Source organism: Homo sapiens, chromosome 9 (assembly GCF_000001405.40).
Source record: "Homo sapiens chromosome 9, GRCh38.p14 Primary Assembly".
NCBI classification, from domain to species: domain Eukaryota; kingdom Metazoa; phylum Chordata; class Mammalia; order Primates; family Hominidae; genus Homo; species Homo sapiens.
The window spans coordinates 89,063,611-89,088,896 of record NC_000009.12 but is presented as its reverse complement, the minus strand read 5'-3'; the positions used below and the strand labels follow the sequence as shown (position 1 = coordinate 89,088,896).

General features: G+C 44.3%; 1 protein-coding gene across 1 annotated transcript in view, besides 1 other annotated feature; it reads left to right on the top strand.

Annotated features, from left to right (window-relative positions):
* SHC3 (SHC adaptor protein 3) overlaps positions 1–25,286 on the top strand; it is a 173,048-nt gene that overhangs the window by 89,922 nt on the left and 57,840 nt on the right. Inside the window, exons 3-6 of the mRNA NM_016848.6 lie at positions 10,994–11,057; positions 13,669–13,788; positions 17,645–17,698; positions 23,317–23,368. Coding sequence (NP_058544.3) covers positions 10,994–11,057; positions 13,669–13,788; positions 17,645–17,698; positions 23,317–23,368 — 290 coding nt within the window. The remainder of the gene's footprint in view (positions 1–10,993; positions 11,058–13,668; positions 13,789–17,644; positions 17,699–23,316; positions 23,369–25,286) is intronic.
* Positions 10,999–11,609: a silencer, noted in NCBI's record as "S5 fragment used in the reporter construct". NCBI's record gives its function as "represses activity of a beta-globin enhancer-driven SV40 promoter in transfected K562 erythroleukemia cells {active_cell/tissue: K562}" and the evidence as "EXISTENCE:reporter gene assay evidence [ECO:0000049][PMID:30886051]".

Sequence of the window (25,286 nt, the reverse complement as noted above, 5' to 3'; positions counted from 1 at the left end):
TGCCCAGGCTTTTCTCACGGCCTCTGCTGGGTTCTCCCCTGGGTGCTGTGGATGCATCCTGCCTGCTGGAAATTCTGTGCTCTCTGTTTCCATCCCTTTGTCGTGGTAATGACCGTATACCTCTCCCCTGTACCCTCCTCTGCCTGCTCTCCGTGCAGGCCCCTCTCCCTCTGGTTGTCCCATCAGCATTTCCCCACAGCTCGTTGTTCCTCCTTCCTCTTTTCTGGTGACCTTTCTACTGATTGCATTGTACCTCTTTCCCTGATATTAAAGATGTTTTTAAAAACAACAGACCCATTATGTCCATGGAGTTTTTATTTCTAAAGGCTTTATGTTGATTTCTTGTATTCTGTGTTTTTCATCTTTTTGACAAAAACAGTCAAACTCTGTAAAACATTTGAAGAGGTTTTTTTCCTGAGCCAAATATGAGTGACCAAGGCTGGAGACACAGTTTCAAGAGGTCCTGAGAATATGTGTTCAAGGTCATTGGGTTTTAGCTTGATTTTATACATTTTAGGGGAATAGAAGTTACAGGCAAACATCAATCAATACAAGTAAGGTGTACATTGGTTCAGTCCAGAAAGGCAGGACAACTTGAAGCTTCTAGACCATAGGTGGCTTGAAAGATTTTCCTGATTGGCAATTGGTTGAAAGAGTTATTATCTAAAGACCTGGAATCAAATGAAAGGAGTGTCGGGGTTAAGATAAGGGGTTGTGGAAACCAAGGTTCTTAGTATGTAGATGAAGCTTCCAGGTAGCAGGCTTCAGAGAAAATGGATAGTAAAGGTCTCTTAACCAACCCTAAAAGGTGCCAGAATCATAATTAAATCTCTCCTGGGTCAGGAAAAGACCTGGAAAGAGAAGGGGATTTTCTACAGAGTGTAGATTTTCCCCACAAGAGACAGCTTTGCAGGGCCATTTCAAAATATGTCCTAGAAATGTAATTTGAGGTAAAATACTTTCATTTCCTTCAGGGCCTACTATCTGTCATGTTGGTATCTTATTGCTACAAAGAGTCTGATCTATCAATCTTAAGGTCTCTGTTCTCATCTTAATGCTGGTCTGCCTTGCCTGAATTCTAAGGGAGGAGTGTATAATGAAGCATGTCTGACCCCCTCTTCCCATCAGGACCTGAACTAGTTTTTCACGTTTACTTTGGAATCCTCTTGGCTAAGAGGAGAGGTCAGTTCAGTTGGTTGGTGGGCTTAGAATTTTATTTTTGGTTTATATCATCTAGAATTAGTATATAATAATAGTAATCTGTCATTGCCTTATAAATGCCTAAAACAAAATGTCAACAAGGGAGGAAATTTTTGAATGAGCAAAGTGGACCACCACAAGAAGCAGGCATGTGGGATCCCCTGGCTCTCCCTCCCACACTGATTGCCTGGGCTCTGTGGTGGACCTCGTCCCCCTGCAGGCACCCCAAGAGCAGGGGGAGGCCATCACACTTCTGTTTTCCTCTAAGCACTGCTTGGTGAGGGGAGGGGAAAGTTCTGATTCGTTCTGATTTGCTGTGGTTAGTCTCACAGAGTATTTCCACATTAGTTTCTCCTAATGTAGGGGCCAGTGTTGGAGAAATTATGCTATGGCAAGGTGATCTTCACCCTAGGGATCAGGGAAACATAAGTTAGGCTACTTGGATGAAAGAACTTCTGGTATTTTCTGATTGACGATGTTTACTATTATGTGTTTGACTTTGTTGCCATCAGTTTCCTTGATTGGAAAATAGGAAAATTAGCTTTAATTCCAGTTCTCCTGTGGACTTCCTGAGGGTTTGTGCCTCATAGCCAAGGACATCTGGAGTCCCTTGATGCACATATATGTGTCATGTGGGCGGATGGGTGTGCGCATGCATGGTGGAACCCACGGTAGTGAGGAGGACGTGCAATCACCCCATGGGCCACGTATGTATGTGTATATATTTATTGTATATATGTGTATATATTTATTTGCATATAAGATATATCTTAGGATCAGTGCATGTGCCCCCAACGACTGAAAGATAACATGCACAAGCAGCTTTGATATGGATACTGTGTACTGTGAAATATGCATTTGGTCTTTGTCCTGTTTGCTGGCATACAACTAAAAGATTCTAAAATCCTTGGAATCTTCAAAGTAATGTGTCTTTTGTATGCTAATGAGGTGACTGGTGGCTGGGGGCTTGTCACAGGAAAAATCAAAGCAGGGTTAGAGGTTGGGACTTCCAGCCCCGTCCCTAATCTCTGGAGAGGGGAGAAGGGCTGAAGATTAAGTGATCACCAATGGTTAATGATTTAATGAATCTTGCCTATATGATCAAAGCCTCTATAAAAACCCAGCAAGACTGGGTTCAGTGAGCTGCTAGACAGCTAAACATGCAGAGGGTCCTCTCTAGGGCGTCACATCCTGGGAGGGCATGGAAGTTCCACGCTCCTTCCCCCATACTTCATCCTATGCATTACTTCATCTGCATCCTTTGCAATATCCTTTAGAATAAACCAGTAAATGTGTTTCCCTGAGTTCTGTGAGCCGTTCTCGCAAATTAATTGAACCCAAGCTGGGGGTGGTGGGAACCCTGATTTGTAGCCAGTTAGTCAGAAGGAGAGGTAAAATAAACTGGGACTTTATTTTACCCCTGTGGGACTGAGATTGGCATCGGAAGTGGGGCACAGTCTTGGGGACACTGAGCCCTCAGCCTGGGGATCTGAATTGGAGGACACCCAGCTGGCATCTGCTGCAGAATTGATGGCTTGTTCAAGCGGTGGTGTGACAGCAGAGGAAAACAGTTTTGTTTCTTCCATGGAGATATTGATGATGGTAACATTAATGGTTAACTTGCATGTGCCCCATGCCAGGCTCTATTAATGCTAAGTTGTATAGATTCATAGATGTGTCATTTAACCCTCACAGAAAGCCCCCACTGCACGTTTGGTTGTTAATCACTCATACAGATCCATGGCTGGTGGCCTGGGTGGAAGCCACTGTACTGTAAATCTGGAAATGTGGGATCCTGAGGATTTTATTGAGGAAGGAACTCGTGTGGCTGCTCACTGGGCACTCCTTGCCAGGTTGATGAGGAGGCGTTTGGAAAGCATTTCTAGAACTCTAATGCCTTGAGGGTTGATGAGCCCTGTGTCCTTATTTTGGAGAGCCAATGTGTGTCTTTGGGAGGTGGGTTCAGTGTTACCTTCTGCAGGTTTGTGCCCCAGGAAAGCCTTGTATGAAGCTGAATTAAACAGAAACTGGATGGAAACCATTAGGTCCCGGAGTGGAACAATTATGGAGAAAATGTCTGTGTGGCTCAGGACTGCCCATCAGGGCTACATTCGGAATTCTATTGTCTCAGCCTATTTTTAGTGGCCTCTGAGACCTGTGTCTATCTACCTGCAGAATCCTACGGAAAAAGACTTTATTGGGAAGCTCTTATTGGCACATTTCTTCACTGCCTCAGGGATCTGGCATGGGGAACTGCGAGAGCACGGGAGACAGACTGGCCTCTTCATCTTAGAGCCGTCTGACTGCCTTGGCTGAGGAAGGCACCTGAAATGATTTAGCTGCCATTTTACAAGGAAAAGTGAACAGAAGGCTGAGGGAAGAGACCAGGGATTCAGCCCAGGTTTACGTGGTTCAGTCAAGACTGGTGCAAAAGGGAGACGCTGTGATGGAGACTTGCCCTGAGCTTCATGGGATGCACACATAATGCCTTCAGAGCACTTAGAACAAGTCCCAGCCTGGTGTCAGGCACCACAGTGGTCCCCTTTTCTTTTGTGTGTGTGTTTCCAAAGGGCAGAAGCTTTGGGGCCAAGTTTGCTCACTTCACCTGTATTCATGCTTTACGACTAAGGAATCAGTGGAACTGAGATCTTTAAAGCCTGTGGTATTTGATCTCACAAAATGCATCTTTCCCAAAAGATAAGTAATTCCTAAAAACTGGCAGTGAAGACAGGTGTGTGCAGGGTTCCGTGGGTCTCTAGATTCCACACTGTATTGGGCAGCCCCATCCAACCCAGTCCAGCCCCTCATGGGTCCAGCGCCTTGGTGGTCCAGCTTCTTGATGGCTCATCTGAGAGACATGGCACCATCTCCCTCAGGGTGCAGCACAGATTGGAGGCTTCTTCCTCATTGCCTGAGAACTTGGCTCATTTACGAAATTGTGGGAAAACTGAGGAGTGTGGATTTCTCCCCTTGATTGGCATATCGGCATCAGGAAGCAGTCAATTTGAGAGCAGAAGGCTTATTCTAACCCAACTGTTAGAATTCTAAAGGAGAAAAAATAATTCAATGAAAGTGTTTATAAGAATAAAGCAAGTCTCTGATCTGTCCAGTGAAGATGCCTGTGACATGACCTGTGACCTCAAGTGAACTTTATTAATTAGTTACTTAAACCATGAAAGGAAAATTAGCCTCAATTTTGTCTCTGTTGGGCTTTACTTTTTTGGTCAATACATTCTTAGTAATCCCAAGAGCTTATCTTTCACTTTCTGAGATCTCTTTCAGCATGGTTTAGGAACCTCTTTTCTAGTTTCATTATTTGGGCTTTTATGTGAATATATAGGATACTTTTTTTGACATCTGTTTAATAATTACCAACCAGTATTTATTTACCCCTGTGTGTATATTTAAACACCTTTCTGGAGTAAACCAAAGGCTGAAGCACAGAATGAGGTCTCAGGAGAATGCTGGGATTATAATGGCACAGGTGAACTGCTAAGGTGTAAGGGAAGTCAATTTCTCCAGGGGTGTGCAGATTCTGAAATCCATGGCTCTTTTGTTATGTCTGCAACATACAAGATTAAAGTGATTTCAACACATCTTGGTCAAATGACTTTTTAAAAAATCAGGTTTATGGTATTTTTGATGCCTATGATTTCTGACTCTCAGTTTCTCCGAATGGTTTGGTTATGGCTGGATGCTTAGTGTGCTGGAGCTGGGAAACTAATCTGCTTGGCTGTGGATGAAACTGGGAAGAAGCCATTGGTTCTGTGTCCCTCTGCCCTTGAACTCTCACTCCTGGTGCCTGGGCTCCTACGTGCCCTCGGCCTAGCTGGCAGCCTCCCAGCTCTGTCCCTACTGCAAATCCAGCTCTCAGACATGGCCCACCTGGAGTCAACAGCTTCGGGATGGAGAAAATGACCCATGAGAAAAAGAGAGAGGCCGTCCCCAAGATGAAAGAGTGAGTCATCTGTGGGGCTGCCCTCAGCAACAGTCTCCATAATGAAGCAGGTCTGTGGGCTTCTTCTCCAAATGGTCTTCTTTTCGTTTTCACTCTCACCATCCAAGTCTGGCCGTCACAACATCAGTAACTTCCCAGCTCATCTCCCTGCCTGCAGCTTCTCAGCCCTTTCTGCCTGTCTACACACTGACACTATTTCTATCATATCAGGGTCTAGTAAAAAGGCGTTGGTTGCTTCCTGCTCCTTGGCATATCCTGAAATGCCTCTAAGACCTGAATCAGAAACCTCCATGGTTCTGCCTTATCCCGGGATTCTGTACACCTGGCCCCAGCCAGCTGGCGCTCCTGCACGTCCACTGTCCTGCTGTGCTCCTTCCTGGTCTGGGCTCCAGTTTGTATTTTTATAGGATCTTCCTCCACTGCCTCTTTCAGCACCTGCTTCTTTGGCATTGAGGCTTCTTTGCTGACCAGGTAACTGACCTCTTGCTCCTCTGAAAGGTAGAATTGCACACTCCAGTCCTTCATAGTACACGTGTGACTGTGTTATCCTGTCTCCTCCACTACTCTGAAGGCTTCTGGGGAGTGCAGCCTGGCTCACCTTCCCCATGGAGGCAGGGTGGTGATGGGTTTGGTGTGTGGCTGGTAAGGGAGAGACCCAGGACTGCTACCTTGTGTGGGGTGAGAGCTGCTGGGTGGACCACGGTGCTGTTTTCTGTCCTGGGAAGGCTGGAGAGAAATATTATTGGTGGGAAAAATTAAGGCTGTGTTTGAAAACTTCAAGTTTGTGATGATTTTAAGACACTGAAGCGGAGCTAACAATTGGGTGTGGTATCTATCTATAAAATTCTGGTACTCGGAGATGAGCGGGCCAGTGGGGAAGGTGGGTGAGCCGCCTGCTGCTGAAGCATTCAGAGTCCAGAGACTATGAGGTCCCTTCAGACAGGAGGGCGGGAGGCAACCGCAGGTTAAAATGGGACTCTGGTAAAGTTTGCCTGGGGTCCGTGGGGCATAGGAGGACTCCAACAGTTCAAGGGAGGGCTGGCCCTCCTACAAAGGGCTTGGGAAGAGGGGTGAGAATCTATTTTGCTGCACTTTGCCCAACCCTCACCCTAAAGTTATAAAGAGAATAAGAGCAAGTCCTTAGTGGCCTGTGAGTCCTCCCATGGAGGAGGGGCGATGGTTCCCTCTAGCTTCAGAGTCAGTGAGGGGCTTAGGAGATGACCAAGACTTTGACACATGTCACCAGGGCCTAGGTGGCCCCATGGACCGATGTCCAACTCACACAGGGAAGCATGCAGCAGGAGTGGCTGTGTTTGAGGAGCAACTGCCCTCCTGCTATAGCCTGGCAGAGGTGCTGGTTCCAGGGAGGGGTACCTATGTGGCCCAGTCAGCTTTCTGCTGATGACAGGAGCCATGTCACCAGCAAGAAGCTGGAGCTTCCCTCTGGTGTGGATGCTGGGAGGGAGCGGGTGTGTGGGGTGAAGAACAGACACTGTCCATTGCACCCATGGGTACCTCCTTGCTCCTGGGGAGGAGTCTTCAAATAAAAAAGGAAAGTGTCCCTGAGAGGAGAGGGGTTGGGTGGAGCCCTGGAGGGGAGGTGCTCGCCATGGCTTAGAGGCTGGAGATTTAGTCTCAAGAATCTCAGAGGAGACAAGTAACTTACACAGGGCATGGGGGTGGGAGGACATCCAGGAGCACCAAGGGGGTCGCCTGTTTCCCTGCAAGGTACTACCAGCCTGGCCAAAGGGCTCAGCACTGGGGCTGTCAGTGTCACCTCTCCACCCCTGACCTCTCTGTATCCACCCCCTGCAGTCATCCCTACCTCACCAAGGGGTCAGGAGCTGCAGCTGAAAGGTTAGGAGGCACTTTCTTCCGTGGCCACCTGGAGGTTCCCTAGGCAGGCCTTAGGGAGGGAGGAGAGGAGGTTTAAATGAAGGTCAGGGTTTTTACTGTTCTGCTGGGCCTGGACATGTTTATTACTAAAAATAGATAAATAGGGTTACACGTTAAGTGATGGAAGACTTTTTCTTGTGTGGAGGTGAGTGGATTAGATTCATGGCTCCATCCAGCCCAGGGAGGAGCAGGGCCAACTGAATGCATTGAATTAGAAAGGACTAGGGGGGTGGGATATTCTTATTGTACCAGCACACATTCACTCAGGGTTCTGGTCACACAGTGGCCAGAAGAGGGGATAAGCAGGGGGAGGTTCAGAGGCTGGAACTTTAGAGTCTCAGGGTTCTCAGAAGAGGCAAGAAACTCACTCAGGGTGTGGGGGTGGGAGGGTATTATGGAGCACTGAGTAGGGTGCCTTCTTCCCTGCAAAGGACTGTAAAGCTTCAATATTTGGCTATGAAAATAGAATTTCAGTATAGGCTTTAATCTGCATTCTGGTTACCATTAAAGTTGAGTATGTGTTTGTGTTTTTTGGAGCCATGTGTATTGCCTTTCCTGAGAACTCTTTATCCATATCCTTTGCTCCGCCCTCTATTGGGCTTTTGATAGTTTCCTTGCTGACTTTTATTAAGACAATTACTTTGTTGACTGTGAAATGTTACATATTTTCTTGTCCATAAATTTTTTATGCTATTGAGTGTGTCAATATTTTTCTTTTATGGCTTCTGGATTTTGTAACATCCTTCCACTAAAAGATAATTTTAAAATATTCTTCCCGGCCAGGCGTGGTGGCTCATGCTTGTAATCCCAGCACTTTGGGAGGCCGAGGAGGGCGGATCATAAGATCAGGAGATCAAGACCATCCTGGCTAATACGGTGAAACCCCATGTCTACTAAAAATACAAAAAATTAGCTGGGCGTGGTGGCCGGCGCCTGCAGTCCCAGCTACTTGGGAGGCTGAGGCAGAAGAATGGCGTGAACCCGGGAGGCGGAGCTTGCAGTGAGCTGAGATAGCACCACTGCAGTCCAGCCTGGGTGAAAGAGCAAGACTAAGTCTCAAAAAAAAAAAAAAAAGTATACATACATATATATATATATATATATATATTCTTCCTAGTTTTCTTTTACTACTTTCATCGTTTCATTACAAATGATTTCAATTTGTGACCCATCTGTAATTTATTTGCATATAAGGCAAGAGATAGGAGCCCAACATAATTTTTTCCTGCATAGCTGCCCACTCACTCAAATGCTGCTTCTTGGGTATCTCTTTCTCTACTGATGTGCATTGACCCATGCCAGTCACATAGACCATTCCTTGTGGGGCCTTGGGATGGGCTGTAGTGAGATGGATGAGGAGGGAGAAAGATGCTACTACATGATTTCAAAGAGTCCAGTTCTGAAGGGAAGATGGTGAAATCATGAGGACAATGAGGGTTCACATCTGGCGGTTGGGCTGGCTTCCGAGACTTTCAGATGACCACAGAGGTTGCCAAATGTCCCATTTTCAAATTAGCCGAGTTCTGAGGTCTTGATTTGGCTCACAGAAACAGGGTCATACTGAACAGAATGTTAAGAAGCAATCCCTATGATTAAAAACAGGGCAAAATTGGTACCTGAGACTCAAATGGGGATTAAGTGGAACTACATAAAGCTAAATAATGATTGCTAAACGAACAAATGGAAACAGTACTGCTTACCAAAACGTACTACACTTAAACAGCAAGAAGGGGAATTGAGAATAGTTACATTTAAAATTAGATTTTGGAGTTAAAGTAACTCATTCCAGGCATCTAAATATTGCAGTTATTAATAGTTATGCTGCATTTCTATTTCAAACAGAAATAGATGCCATCAGCGTGGTTGAAATGAGAATTCACACACACGTGTTATCGTATGAGCATTAGGAAGGAATTTATGCCAGTGATGAAAAGAGAACATTTTTCTAAAAAGCAGTTTCATTTGAAAACTCCTTTGGGGATTCTAAAGACTCACAAGTGGGATCCTTAGGATTTTCCCTGAGTATATGAGCTCTGAGAAATTTTTGGAACTTCTTCTATCTGCGAATGTGCCCTGAGACCTGTGCATTCTGTTCTGTGTGAAAAGGTATTGGAAAGAAATGTTAACAGTTTTCAGAGCTTTGTAATTCCTTCTAACTGGTGATGCATAGTTTCTACCTCCCTTCCCCAAAAGTAGCACAGAAGCAGCTGGGTCCTGTTGCAAGCTCCAGGGCCTGACTAGATGAGACATTTGATACTATGTGTCTTTTTGGATAACTGTCCTTGGAGTCTGATTTTTTTCTTTTAGACTCCATGTTGGTGGATGGTAAAATAAATACGGTGCTTATCAGGAATATTTATGGAGTGATTAAAGGGAGACACTTCAGCATGTAATATCTTTCTACCCTGCTGGAACCATCAGAGGTTTAGCTGCCTTGCTCAACTAAGTATGTCACTTAATATAAGAAATACAATGCAGCGATTCACTGTACTGGTTTTCTAAAAATTAAACATAAAATATAGATAATGGGTTTATATAGTTCTGTAAAGAGACAATTTGACCTTCTTTAATAAGAAGTTAGCTTTTAGAAAGTACTTTAGATGATACGTGATTGGTCACTTTGATAGAAACACAGTTAGAATATTATTATAAAATGAATAAGAGTAAGCATAAACATCAAAAACATTTGTTTCTTGCTTCACTTTTTCCATGTCATGATGATTCATTGCCTACGGTTTTCCTGGCATCTGAGCTTTTAGGAAAATGTTTCCTTCCCTGCTCTCTACAATAAATTGAGTGGCAAATGGGAAGCTTGTCCTGATAGTCTGTTGCGTAACTGATATGGACATATTTCTCTTCAAAGCACTGTGTTGTTATGGTGATTATTTTTCGTCCACATGGTAGAAATTAATCTGAAGAAGTATTGAGCTCGGAAAGTTTATAGAATGTTTCTGAGGACCTATTATCTTCTCTTGTTCACCGTGTCTCCAAGTCCCTGTTGATTTTTTTCTATGCAGTAGTATTTTCTCCTCCATGTGTGAGTGGGAAGGGTCACCAGCTCCTTTCTGGACCCCTGACTTGGAACCACCTTTGCCCACCTCCCAGGCATTTCTCACTTAGGCTGGATCATGAGGTTGAGCTGTGTTTCCTCTCCAGCATTCCCTTCCTGCCACCCTAGCCCTCAGCTGTGACCATCCTGTCTTGCTTCCTCACCCTCTGGGGTCCTCCTGCCCCATGCAGAACCACGTGTTGGACTCTTGCCCCCGGCCACTCAGCACCAGGACACTCTGCCTCCTCCACCGGGACCCATGCCTGCACGTCCCAGCAGCCTCACCAGTGCGGTTCCATGGAACTGCCCTGCACATCACCTCACTGCCGGGTTCTTTATACACCCTGCAGTTCCTCTTCTCCTTCCAACCCCTCTTGATTTTGTAAGATTCACTAACCGCAGAAACTGGGAATAAAACTCGGGATGACCATGTTTCTTTTAATTACATTCTAACTCACTTAAGAAGGATCTCAATCAATCAAGGTGGTTGATTAGGTTTGGGCCTGATGTCCTGACCAAAGCCATGGAGATAGATAGCATCACAGTGTCGGGAAGAGAATATTTTAGGGTGCTGACTTACAAAAATAGAATCTTAGCAAAATGTAAAAAAAAAAAAAAGTGTAGCATTGACACAGATGACATTGTTAGTATCCAGCCACCACAACAAAGAGAACTAGAATATTGCCAGGAGAGGTTTTACGATGACCTGTTTGCGTTTTGTTTAGTTTTGTGTTTTAGAAGAAGAATCGGATGACTCCCAAATTGGCAGCTCTGTTTTCTATACTGAAATAAACAGGCAGTTATTTTCTTTGGATGTGCAAGTGTAGCATCTCTGGGTTCCATAATCCCGACTGACACGTAATAAAATTGCTTTTTCTTCCTGTCCTAAGGGAAGCCATCAGCCGCGTCTGTGAAGCTGTGCCTGGTGCGAAGGGAGCCTTCAAGAAGAGAAAGGTACTGTCCTCAATGCTCTGTGTCTAACTGTGTCTCCTCTACTTCCTCTTTTTTGCCACTCGGTATCTTCAGTCACACAGAATTATTCATTGTCCTCTTTCTGTGGCCCGGCGCTTGCTACTTCTAAAAGCAGAAAGGGCTTAGATTGCTTTCTCTCTCACGTGGTTGAGGACAGTTAGCTGTCCCTGTCTCAGAAGTAGACACCCTGGTTACTCATTCACTGTGGCTTAAACTCTGAAGATAATGATAACAACAGACACTTAAAACAGGGTCAGGCTTTCCTTTAAGCACTTTCAATACATCAATTTACTTAACTACAACAACTGAGTTAGATATCCCCAGTGGTGTGCTGGTAAATGTTTAACAACCAGCTCTCCAGGTTGGGCAGGGGAATGAAAAAGAAAGTTTGTAGCATTTTCTGATTTGTGTGATGTCAATACCTCTGCTGTGGCCGATTTCAATTTCTCAAAATTATATCCCGTGAAAACAGAGTCGGGAAGAGATATGTAGTAGCTCATGGTTGTATAATGTTTCTGCCATACAGGTACTGTGGGCATAAATAACTTGAAAAACAGTTAGTAGTTAATGCAGCAAAAGAATTAGGAAGTGATGCATGTTGAGCATTTATTGTCTGTTTTTTTTTGTTTTTTTTTTTGTTTTTTTGAGACAGAGTCTCGCTCTATCCCCCGGGCTGGAGTGCAGTGGCGTGATCTTGGCTGACTGAAATCTCCGCCTCCTGGGTTCAAGCGATTCTCCTGGCTCAGCCTCCCGAGTAGCTGGGATTACAGGTGTGCGCCACCATGCCCAGCTAATTTTTGTATTTTTAGTAGAGATGGGGTTTCACTGTATTGGCCAGGATGGTCTCGACCTCTTGACCTCGTGATCCACCCGCCTTGGCTTCCCAAAGTGTTGGGATTACAGGTGTGAGCCACCATGCCCGGCCCTATTGTCTGTTTTTTTAAAGGTAATTTATTTAATTGTAAGTTTACATACATTCATTTTTAATAACAGCTGTGATTAATAGTCAGATTATAAAATTCTGAAAAATTTAATAATTGGCTCCCATCAGCTGGGCCAAGCCAGCACTAGAATACCACTGGATATCCCCGTATTACAGATGATGACAACTGTGAACGGAGGGGAAAGGCCACAATGCAGGTAGATGTTGTCTGAGAGCAAGCTCAGAGGGCTGGGCTCCACAGGCTGCATGTTCAAACACTGCACTAGGACTTTTCATCCTGAAGATATTTGAGTCAGAAGGAAAAAAAAAAAGCCTGGATTAGGAGAAACCATGAAAACCTCTTCAGTTAAGTTGTCTAGTGAATACCCAGCTAAATCCACAATCAAGGCTTTTCTATGCCTAACCTGAATTGTGGAGAAAGCGTCCTTCAAAGAACCTCTGAATCTGCCCTGAGGTTGCACATTCCTGATTCCAGATCATCTGGGCAGCTGCATGTGTGGCTCTGCTGATCCCAGGCTCAAGCTTGTTTCTGTCTTCAGAGCTTGGGGACTTTCACGCACCCACAGGGCAGCTGGGTTTCGGAAGAGAACTCTGAATGAAGACTCAGATGTGCCAGCCCATGTTCTGGCCAGTCCATGGGGAACCAAGTAAGGCTCCAGAGTCTCCACTATAGGAACTAGGACGGCAACTGAGAACGAAGAAGGGGAATCTCATCTTCCAGGTCCCAGCTCATCCTGGGGCATCCTCATGGTTCTCTTGGTGGAAACGATGCCCGTTTCTTGGCTCCACCCAGAATCTCATGGGTGGGGCCTCAGCATCTCTGTTTTTAAATATCTCCTTCAGGGGATTAAAAAGGGTGTGCACCTGGTTAGGAACTAATTAGCATATCAAAAGAGAGAGTGTTCTAATCCAAAAAGAAGGGATGGGTTGGTACCAAAGGGCATTGCCCACCCAGGTACCTAGGAAGAAGGTCCCTGGCCCCAAAACACAGCTGTCAGTCCCCTGTAAGGACATTTCTGACAGGGTAATGGGAACTGTATACCAGTTACAGCCAGGCCATGTCTATCTATCCTTATGCTGGCTCTAGGCCCATGGGTTTTTAAGAGGACAGTCCATGAGAACCTTGACCAGGGAGAGTGTTTGCTCCAAAAAATTTGTGGTCCATTCCCTTCGGCCGCGAACATCCTTGCATCTCTCTGGGATTCTTGTAATCCCCTAGAGCTGGCCTGCTTTAGTCTTCCTCTAAGTTAGTTTGACTCTTCCTCTGAAGTAGGTGTGATGATACCAGGTTGCTGAGCGTACAAAATGTGATGGGCTTTCCCCAGGTTTACATATGAGGACTTCTCCATGAGACACTTCCCAACAGGGCCAGAGAAAAGGCCTGGAAGACTGATGCCTCTGCCTGCCTGCAAGAGTTTTCACCTCAGCATTTGCATATTATATGGTTTATAATTTGCATGTTGCATATTCTAAAATTTGCTTATTAGCTTCGGATCCCCCTACTCCCAGCTTATTCATTTCACATTTTGTCTTCTTATGCCTAAGGAGGGAGGAACAGTTAGTGAGAGTTTAGGGGTATGGCAGGCATCCACATCCCCACCCTTTGAGATGGAAATGAAACAGCTAAAATAATGCTCTTTAATTTCACAGCCTCCAAGCAAAATGCTGTCCAGCATCTTGGGAAAGAGCAACCTCCAGTTTGCGGGAATGAGCATCTCTCTGACCATCTCCACGGCCAGTCTGAACCTGCGAACTCCGGACTCCAAACAGGTACATGGGTGCTCAGATCCCCTGTCCCTGCCCACAGCCCCAGGTGATGAGTGTTTCGCAGGCTTCTTCCTTGCAGCTTTACTGAGCTCACATAGCATATTTTGTGTCAAATTTTTACTAGAGTATGAACTTTGGCCACTTTGAAGGATCACCAAGAGAATGATAAATGAAATTGGCTCTCTTTAATTCTGCTTTTTATTTCTTTGGAGTATAATGCACAAAATCATTGGTTTACTTGCAATGTAAAAAAAAAAAAATGATGTGTGTGCAAAGTCTCTTCTTAATGTCCTTGCCCTTATTTTTTTCTTTTACACCATATTTAATTGGTTTTACAGGCCATATTTTATTTTATTACCTTTGAAGTGGACGGCATGTCATGGTCTAATTGGTGATTTTTTTTTTTTTTTTTTTTTTTTTGCTTTAGTGGCTCATTGTTTTGGAGCATCTTGTAGTACATAGTGTTGTAGGGGTAATAAGAAGTGGTGTTGTCTATGGAATAGCCAATGTGGAATGAATTTGGAGCTGACTGAGACACCACAGCCACAGTGTTAATTAAGGCTAATTTTATTGAGGATGGTTGCGTTCCTGCACAATGTCTATCTTTTAGATTTCTCTGATCTAGTCATCATTAATTTCTTTAGCTGGAAAAATAGGTGTTTGAGTAGCTATTTTAGCTACCAACAAGGCACTTCTGAAGGTCAAATGAGGCGCAGGAGGTGAAATGCTTGAGCAGTATCCAGGGGGGTGTGGAGTGTGGACTCTCCTCCCTTGCTGTGCCCCGGCTCAGCTTCTGGGGCTGGCTATCGGAGCTGGAGCTCGGATGGGACCTCTCTATATAATACTCTACCTGATTCCGACATTGTCACCAGGGATGCCCGCAGTGACCTTTATGTTACTATACATACTTCTGTTGATTGACTTCCATATTCCCCAGGTTAGTGAGCAGCATCTCCAGCTTCATTTATTCCTCCACCTGCCACCCAAGATGTTGAAATAAATCCTGGATCTAGCACAGAAATGGGAAGCAAAACCCAGGCTTTGTGTTAACATAACTAGATACCACTTCTCACTGCCTCCTTTTGTCCTCACAGGACTGATAGATAATTTCTTGTCTTTTTATCTTAACTTGTCTAAGGGACTAGTTCACTAGCTCTGGAGGTTGTGGATTCTGAATATTCACCAGGCTCAGCCTTTCTCTGGCATGGTCCAAGACTGCGCTGTTCATGAAGGCTTGTTGGCTGGGCTCACCTCTGCACTCTCCTTCATGCCCGGAGCTGTTCCTTTTCTATGTCTCCTGGACCTTTTATTTGGTCCTCAGACTTCTTAAATCTGTGGGATCTTCTCCCTGAACTCCCCTCCCACCTCAGTAAAATAGAAAACAAACTAAGAGCAGTGGGATGAGACTGGGCTGGCCCTCTCTGTCCTGGAACATGGCAGCCGAAGCAGGTGTCCAGTTCATGTTTTCCTGCCCTTGGTTTGGGCGGATGGGGCAAAGTGGCAGGTTCTGGACACCCAGGGGACTGGTAGTTTGGTTGATGAGTGTGTGAAGGTTGGGTGGGGGGCAAGCACACAGGGTTCTGACTCTCCCTTCCAGCTGACTTTTGGGCCCAACTGTAGCAAATTGAGAACAGCCTGGCTAGACACTCCCTTCTCCATCCAGTGAGACAGCAGCAAGACAACAGCCGCTCCCCTCTACAGAGTTCCTAGTGGAAATGAGATGCAACACCCTCAGGGCAAAACACGTGATTTAGGTCAATTAGCTCTAATTTTCTTACCCTGGTTTTCAATTTCTGTCTTACCCAAAGAGATAACATACAATCACACAATAAGGCTCACGCATCACGTCAACCAAATATGACTTTCATTTTTTTTCCAAATCACAGCTTCCAATTTAATTTCCAAACTCCAGTTTTAGACCTGCCTTATAAGCAAAAATTAAATAAGCAAAAATGTAAAACTTTGAGAGCCATAGTTTATCATTTCCTGGTGGTTGCTATTTCCTCATTATTCTCTTAGGAGCCCTCTACCTTTGCGCCAGAGGGAAGATTCCAGAGAGCTGCAAAGACCACTGTTTTTAGTTTAACTCAGCTGGGGCTTGGGTGCAGCCTCTGTAGCCAGCCTCATTCTCTATTCACTTATGTACTCAGGGGTTTCTAGATCCTGAGGTGTTGTAAGTGCCAATAACCAAAGTAGGCATTTAAAACTATCTTATTTTCTATTATAATTCAATTATATTTTATTTCAAGTTTTACAGGAGCATGTTTGGACAAATCCCTGGGATGTATGATTATAGCTATATAAATCCTGACTGCCTGCCCGAGGACAAGGGCCCAAGGGGACTCTGCAGAACTAAACCTGGTTATGTTGGGTTAGAGATGAGCTCTGTTCTCACCCCCGGAAATTTACTTCAATGTCATTACATTGTCTTTAAAAAGATAAAATTAGCATGGAAGACTTATGTAGCTTTTTAAATTTAGGGCAGCTTCTAATTTACTCAGTGTCTACTAAATTCCACTGTACGCTGCAGTTTATAAAGCTAATGGAAATTTCCCATTTCAAAATTAACATGGATTGTCTGCTCTGGATTTTACATTGATAAATTACAAGAGTGCTTTAGATGGCGCCGAGTTGGAATCTTGGATGCTGGCTTTCTAATGGGATAAAATGGAAGATGGGCCACATTTCCCCCCATTCTAGCTGTGAGTTCTGTGTCAGAGACCTCAGTGTGTTTTTGGAAACATAATCTATAAGTTGAGATGTTTTGGTGTGTGGGTGAGACAGATTCCTTCTGGAAGAGGCATGGTTGTTAAGACCCTGGCCTCGGGGTGGGCCTCCCTGTCATAAGCAGCTCAAGGTCAGACATAACCAGGTCCATGCACATTTGTGTCTTTCCACAAGGTCAGACTTTTATTGAGGCTATTTTAATAATGAAAACCATGAGCTACATGGAGTTCACTCTGTATCAGAGCTGTGGGCACACAGACTGAAGCCACTCCACAGGTCAGTCAATATTGCAAACCATACATAAGAGTATACTTAATCAGTATATAAATGTTACAGATTAAACATTCCACATCAAACCAAGTAACATTTAGCATCAAGAGAAAAAGAGATAGGAGTAGGGATTAATAAACCAGTCTGGGGCAAGTGATGTGGACAAAGAGAGTGTCCTGGCTTGATCCAGATGCACAACAATGTCTTGCAAGGAAGAGTCTTTGATGTGGGCAGAGCCTTCGTTGGCAGATGCTGGCTGCTTATCACCAGTGACAGCAAGACGGTGTCTGTTAAGAAGGCTGTTTCAAGCTGGTGAAGTCCTCCTTTTTATGACCAGAGTCCTCTGGTGAGGACTGATAGTAAAAGAGTCTGCCTTTTTATGTCCTTATCTTGTTGGGTGCCATCTTCATTAATTAGGCAAACATCTGGTACCTGTTGGCATGTTGCTTCTTGAAATGTAAGATGGAGTCTTTTTCTAAGATGGAGTCACTTATGTTAAGGGTGCTCTATACGCCCCCGTGTTAGATCGCAGCTCTGCTAATCACCAGCTGTCTTAATTTGAGCAAGCCACTTGACCCCTCTGGGTTCTGGCTCCTCACCTGTAAAGTGGGATGACGATAGTTCCCACATCACAGGCTGCAGCGAGGCTTCACGGACACTATTCTGGCAAAGCAGCTGGACAGCAGCCATCAGATTTTGAAAGGTGATCTATTGCTATTACTTTTATAATCATTATTTTTATATAGATACCAATTTTCAGGAAAACATGTCAATTTGTAATGCCTGCCAACAAACAGTTGCTTTTCCAAAATGTGGAAAGGGCGATAACAGCACATCTCGTTTCTTGTTTTGGGCCTGGCAGATCATAGCGAATCACCACATGCGGTCCATCTCCTTCGCCTCTGGGGGAGACCCGGTAAGTACCCTTGGGGTTGGTCTCTTGCTCTTGTTGGGAATTTCTGAGAAGGGACCCCTGCTTCAATAATATGCCTTGCAAGACACTGTAAAAAAGGTTAATTGTGATGGCAACTAATTTCCCCCTCCTGATTTCCATAGAAGATCTTCTTGGCCATCGTTTTATTTTTAGGGGTAAGCTGTGACAAGGACCCCACCATTAGTTTTCATTTCATTAGCCAAAAGCTGTCAAAAATCCTGGAGGCACTGGCGTTCTTACCAGGTGATGAAATAGTCCCCCTGGCCCCAGAGTTGCCACAGGCTTCTCACGCTGTCACTCGGCTCTTGCCCTACTTTTTGTTTTTTTATTGGACCTCCATATTAATATTTTAAGTCTGCCTGAAGAATGTGAATTTTCTTAGTCTGCTTTATTCATAAGCATTTAAAATCAGCATTTTTCTCTCCCAGTGTAATACTGCAGCCTTTAATAGTTTGCTTTGCCAACAAGGAGGGAGTTGCAGAGAGAGAGAGAGAGTAAGAAGAAGACTCGAGAACAGAATGAGAATGTTCTATTTTTGCTTCACATCTTTAATGAAGAAGGTGGAATAACAAGGGAATTTGCTTCCCACATTTGGGCGGGAATGCTACAATAGGATGTCAGCATCCAGCTTCAGAGTGGCCATGTCATCTAAACTGTACTGTCACGAAGTTGAACTCAGAAAACCACCTCCCGCTCCCGGGACAGGGCGGAATCCACACACAAATTGGCTGCTCACTGTGGACAGCCTGGGCCTGCAAAGAAACCAGGCAGGAAATTGGTCACAAAGGAGTGAGGCACAGAGGGCAAAGGGAAGAAAGCCAAGTCAGCCCTTTCCAGAAGGGAGAGGGAAGAAGGCTCACCCTCCGGAAAGTTCTCATCTTAATTTTTATGCGTCTGGGTAAAGTTTCCACCAGTTTGGAGAAAAGTTTTAAAATTAGGATAATAGATTGAGTTTTTCCTGGAGCTAAATTTATTCAATTGAAAAATGATCTTATATCCTAAGAAGCCATCTTTTATACTTTTTTGTGTTCAATAGCCTTTTAATATAAAATAATGTCCTAGAGGTGGTGTTTTTGTTATTATTGCTATTTTGCATTCTTTAGCCAAATTATGAGTAGGCAATCTTCAGATGTTACATAAAGGTTTACTGGTCCAAGATCTCTTCATTTCAAGGTTGAGGACCCTGTGTTTTACTAGCACAAGTAGGAACTTTTCCCTGTGACTTTTCTACCTTTTCTTCCCATACCCCTTCTACCTTGGAAACTGGATTAGAAAATTGCTGTTGGCACATTGGAAGCCAAATTGAAGGAGCAATGTCAAAGGTAGACTCCAGAGCCTTGACATTTCCAAAGGACAGTACAATTGGGCCACGAATCTCAGCAACAGGGAAGTGGTACTTCTCCCTGCCCTGCTGTGGCAGCTGCCAGAGGCAGGCATCATGGCCATTCTGGGCATCACTCCTGCCTGGGCCAGCACGAGCTGCCGTGGAGAGGCTTGGGCCCTGCTGCTTCTCAGTGACCCCATCTCAGACCCTTGAGCCAAGGGCACTCTGCAGGGGAAGGTATTTGCCCACCCAGCAGATGGTTCTTTGCCCTTATATCTCTGCTTAATTGTCAAAGGATGGTCAGAGCACTGTTTAGCCCTGAGATCTGCCATTCCATAGGGTCAAGTGGCTTGGGCCTTGTTTTCATACTTTCGATCTTCTTGTCAAAAGTCAACCACAATGGCTTTCTCTTCTTTTTTTTCTTCCCTTCCCTTGCTATGCCTTTCCTTTCTTTCTAATCCTTATAATTTCTTACACTTTATTGTAAGATGAAAGTCCTTATTGAGATGCATATTCAGAAAGTGGAAGTCTTCCCCAGTTGAACTCATCCAACAGGGTCTCATTCTGTCACCCAGGCTGGAATGCAGTGGCGCCATCACAGCTCACTGCAGCCTTGACCTCCCAGGTTTAAGTGATCCTCTCACCTCAGCCTCATGGGTAGCTGGGACTACAGGCACACACCACCATGCCTGGCTAACTTTTTGTATTTTTAGTAGAGACAGGGTTTCACCATATTGCCCAGGCTGGTCTCAAACTCTGGGCTTAAGTGGTCCACCCACCTCGGCCTCCCAAAGTGCTGGGATTACAGGCATGAGCCACTGCACCTGGCCCAAGGTGCATTTCTTCAGATGCTGTCTATATGTGTATGTCCACCTATTTGCTACCTAATTTGCAGTGGTTGTCTAATTGCTTGCCCCTTGTGATGTTTGGAACCATAGTTTCTTAAATTTGGAGGATAACCCAGTTTGACATATAAAAGGCAGATGTCTTGTATATTTGCATTAACAGCTTCCTTCAAGAGCTCTTCTTAAACCTGTCTTAATGTTGACATTATGAGTGAAGACACACATATCTAGATTGTTGGGAGCCAATTACATTGGTTTGTGTCAAAACTATTTTATTTTCAGGATGCACATAGGACTATACATTTTTTTTTTCAGATTTCCTCATCACATCTTATTTTTTTTTAAAAAAAATTGGAAACATTTAGTAATCCTTAAAGTAATCCACAACCTTTTATATTTTCTGTGATTTCTTTTTTCTGGTTTATAAAATGTCATAACACAGGACAGGAAGCCTAGTTACTTTCCATTTTAACCAATCCAAATGCATTTTATATTGTGCATGAGATTACATTCCAAATTGATTTGTAACCATGAATTTAGCACATTATAATTGGTAGACATTTTTAATAAAGCTGACAATTCTATATTCTAGTCCTTGTTCTCCTGCTAAGTGTACATGTCACTTATTGCTTAGTGCCTCAGTTTACCCAGTAGGAAAATGGTATTTTGAAATAGCAAACAAGATAGACTAGAAAACTTTATTAATTCCTCTCTAAAAACGGCATGCTGTGATTATAATCTACTGTAATTAGCAGTGTTAAAAGACCACCACAAAAATGCCAGAACAATGGCCAGGCACAGGGGGTCTTGGGGAGTGGGAACAGGTATAGAATAGATGCAGAACAGCACTTCTCAGCTCTGTCTTTGGAACTTAGTGCTTCCTGATGACAAGAATATTGTTTTGAATGGTAATATATTTGCCTGCTCTGCCAGAAAAGGATCAATATTGGCATCAGAAAAGCTTGGCCATTGACCATCTGAGAGACAGGGACATATTATGTCTCTCTATTCTCCCTCCTTTCCCAACTTTGAGCCAGAGTAAGAACGTAAAAAAATATATTCCTTGTATTCATTACTAATGCTGACTCTAATTTTGTTACCTGAATATGTGCAAAAACAAATTAAAAATAAACTTCTTTTATTTATACTTTTTATTTAACTCTCCCCCTACTTAAATTTGAAAGTTAAATACAAGTAAACATTGTAAGGCCAATGACATTCAATGTAATATTACTTTGCTATGATGGACAAAGTTCGCTGAAACTAAATCTCCATCTGAATGTGATGCTGGCCTGGCCACCATGGGGCAGAATTTTTTAAGTTCAATGTCTCTTCATTACCATGGGCACCTGGATGACTCAATTCTTCCACTAATTTCTTCTATTCAAGCAGAAACTTCAGTTGTACATCATGTACAAGTATAATGTCAATTTGCTTTATGTGGGCAGAGAAATCTACCCTGTGTCCTTTTCTTTCTAATTCTTTGAAAACCTAGCAATCATAATGTTGGAAATCCAGCTGCAAATCCTGGCATTGAAATTGTGTGCAGAACTTGATAACACAGTGGTCACCTAAATGATCCCAGTTACTCTTATATTAATTTTAAGATAATCATGGAAATGAAAATAAAAATTTTTTAAAATGCTGGTGCCACCTCAAACACTGGAGAAGACACCTGTCCAACCCTAGGGTTCTATGAATTTCAGCTTGAAATCTAGTGCTATCTTAGATGCTCTCTAAGGATCCTTCTGACATTCACGTCTTGTGAGTTCAGGAAGTGCCTATGATTACAAGCTGTTATCCTTGTTTTTGCCAATAACTTCAGATTCTGACTGGATCCTCCTTGATGGAAATGACCAGAAGCCAGTTTGACCAGGTGGACGATCTTTCATTTCCTTTCCCTAGTCAGCCTGTGAATACACCAGGGAACAGTGTCCTGAGCAGAAAAGAAAACAGCTTAGCTGAGCCACGCCCTGCAGAATGACCGGGGAAGCAGCACCATTGTCTCAAGAGCTGCTGGAAGAATGCTACACTGGTGTGGTCTTGTTGGGCTGTGTAAGATCCAGCGGGATGGGGTGTGGAAAAGTGCCCAGCACCACCCACCTGAACCTACAGCAGATGTCCCACAACAGTGACATGGCCACCCCATACTCATTCTCTCCCTCATCTCTCTCTCCTTGGAGAGCTTTTGTAGGGCACTGTTGAGAGAGAAGGGGATGTCTCCTTTGCCCATAGAGAAAACAGTGGAGCAAGTCACGACAGAGCCTTTTAGGTGCTGGCAACATCGGGAGCGTATCAATAACCTGGAAGCCCTTCAAAGCAATGACATATGGGAAATGTCTGCCAAAATGAGGTAGACTTTTATCAGTTGCCCCACAGAGTCTTGAATGCCGAAAATACCAACTTTGCAGAGGAGTCTTTTCTGCTTTCAGGAGTTAAGATAATTATTGGTTTCTCTGCTTATTTGTTTATGAATTAAAATGCATATGGTTGCCGTGGTCTACTTTTGAGGTCATCATTTTCCCTATGCACTGATTATATGAGAAGGCAGGCAAAGAAACTCACATTTCATATGGAAGGATGAGACTTCTCAATAGAGCTCATATTTTTAAAACATATTAAAGTATTAAGATCATTATTTATGTCCAAGAAGAAAATAACCATTATATCTCATCCACCAGGAAGGCAGCATTTGCAGTCAGCCTTTGAACATCCACTCTGGTTTTCTTCTAGCCTAGTGGTTCTCAAAGTGTGGCCCCCAGAGCAGCAGCAGCTAGAAACTTGACAGAAATGCAAATTTTGAGCCCTTACCCCAGAACTACTACCAAATTAGAAACTCGGGGGTATGGCTTAGCGTTCTATTTTAACAAGCCCTGCAGGGGATTCTGATACCAGCTCAAATTGGAGAACCACTGGTGTAGACAAAGCTGAGAGCAGTGGTTCTTAACATGTGGTTCACGTTACAGTCATCTAGGGAGCATCTAAAAACGAATGCACAGGCCTCACATCCAAACCAATTAAATGGGATTATCTGCATGTTGGGACGCAGGTATCAGTGTGTTTAAAGCTTCTCAGGCGATCCAACATGCCTTTTCTCCTTGCTGCTCAAAGTGTAAGTGGACTTCTAACCAGTTCCGGTGGGATACTGAGACACTGCAGCCTCAGTATACATGGGAGCTGGTTAGAAGTACAGGACCTCAGACCCTACCCCTGACCTGCTGAGTCAAAGTCTGCAATGTGAGACCTCTGGGTGGTTGCTACCCACATTATATAGCTTGAATCTTCTGGGGGCTGTTTCTTAGGCAGCATTTGATTCTTTAGCTGTTTGGTGGTTGAGTCCTTCTAAGCTCACTGGTTTGTGCCCTGTGTCCCTGACTGTGTGGTCTCTCACTTGTGATTAGTGACATAGACATCTCTTTTTTCTTTAACAGGACACAACTGACTATGTTGCATATGTGGCTAAGGACCCTGTTAATCGCAGAGGTAAGCGGTGCTTGACCCCTTTAATCTCTTGTTTGTGTACAGCCAGGCTTCACATTCTATACAAGCTGGTCCTCGTTATCTCAGCCCCCTCCCAACAAATGAGTAGTGCCATCTTGTATTACTAAGGATGAATGAGGTTTGCAAGGGTTGTAGATCGCTTGGCTGAGTTAGGAGGTACCGGACCTCTCTGACCACCAAACACACGCTTGTATCCAGATAGCTGGTTTGGTACAATTGATTTACACACAAACAGCCCCTGCCCATATTCTGACAGTGGCCTCGGTTACTCCTGGAAGACCACCTGCTGCCTGTCCTCCTGCCCAGCTTCAGCTCCTGGTGTGTGCCCAGTGCCCACTAAGCCACCCCTAGCTACTTCACTCTGCCCTGCCAGCCCTAGAGGTTAGTGTCTGAGCTCAGGCGCTGTCTGATTATATCCCTTTCAGCTTCTAAGTCTTCAGGAACAGGCTGGATGGGGGGAGTCATTTATAAAACCAAAGCCCATTGGATGGTAGCATACCTGGGGTGGCTGGGACTGACCAAGGTGCACTACCCTGGAGTTCCAGGCAGCTATTGATGCACCACACCACAGCTGCAATTTAAAACTCATTGATGAAATAACAAATGGAATTAATAACGGCACAAAACAGCACTCCCTTTCACTACCCCCCTACCCCAGGTACCAACTAAGATTTTCTAGTTTGCTTTGCATAATGCTTATCCGTATACATACCCTCTCTTTTTAACATTTTCATACAAATGAGATCCTAATATTCTGTTTTGCTACCTTACCCTCCAATGCTATACCTTGGATATATTTTTAAGATAGCCCATACGGAAGAGATGAACTGATCCATGATGCGGCCTTATGGAGAATCATCCCCCACGCCACTGCCTGGGGAGCTTAAAAAAACCTCAATGCTCAGGCCTCAGAGAGTGGGGCCCAGACAATACAATTTTCTAAAAGCTCTTCAGATGATTCCAAGGTACCGCCAAAGCTAGGAAATAAGGCTTAGGTCCAGATCCTGAAGGAGTTTAGCCCCGAGTCATTGACTTCATTTCTCAGGGGCAAACCAAGAGTACTTTCTGCCCACAATACAGTTCCTGTCCAGCGACATGGGAATCAGGATCGATTCCACATGTCCCGTGGCTGCCTCACCAGGCTCTCTCAGGTTTGCATGTGGTGATACTGTGAAGACAAATGCCAGACCTGTGATGCAGAAAAAGATCTCCACCATTTTTGGTGCTTGAGGGCACCACCAACACAGGGGCCCTCTTATGGACTGAATATTCACGTCACCCCCAAATTTATATGTTAAAATAGAAACCCCCAATATGATGGTATTGCATTAATTAAAGGCCCCAATTGAAGGTGATGTCTTTGGGAGGTCATTAGGTCATGAGGGGGAAGCCTTGTGAATGGGTTTGGTGCTCTTGTCAAAGAGACCTCAGAGAGCTCCCTCACCCTCTTCCACCCATGTGAGGACACAGCAAGAAAGCGCCGTCTGCAAACCAGGAAGAGGGCCCTCAGTAGACATCAAGTCTGCTGGCACCTTCCAGCCTCCAGAACTGTGAGAAACAAATGTCTGTTGTTGAAGTCACCCAGCCTGTGGTGTTGTTACAGCAGTCCCAGCTGATTAAGACAGGCCCTTTGTTTGAGACAGTTAGTGGGAGATACTCACTCTGTGTTCCCACCTATCTATTGCCTGTAACAAACTACTTCAAGCTTAGTGGCTTAACAACAACCATTTTATTATAATAGAATGTGGGTCAGGAATTCAAGCAAGTGTCAGCTGGTCAGTTCATCTGCCCAAGTGGCATCGACAGGGGTCATCGAGTGGTCTTTAGCTAGAGAGTCTGGGCTGGTCTAGGAGGTCCAAATTGGCTTTGCTTCCACACCTGGGACCTTGGCAAGGATGAC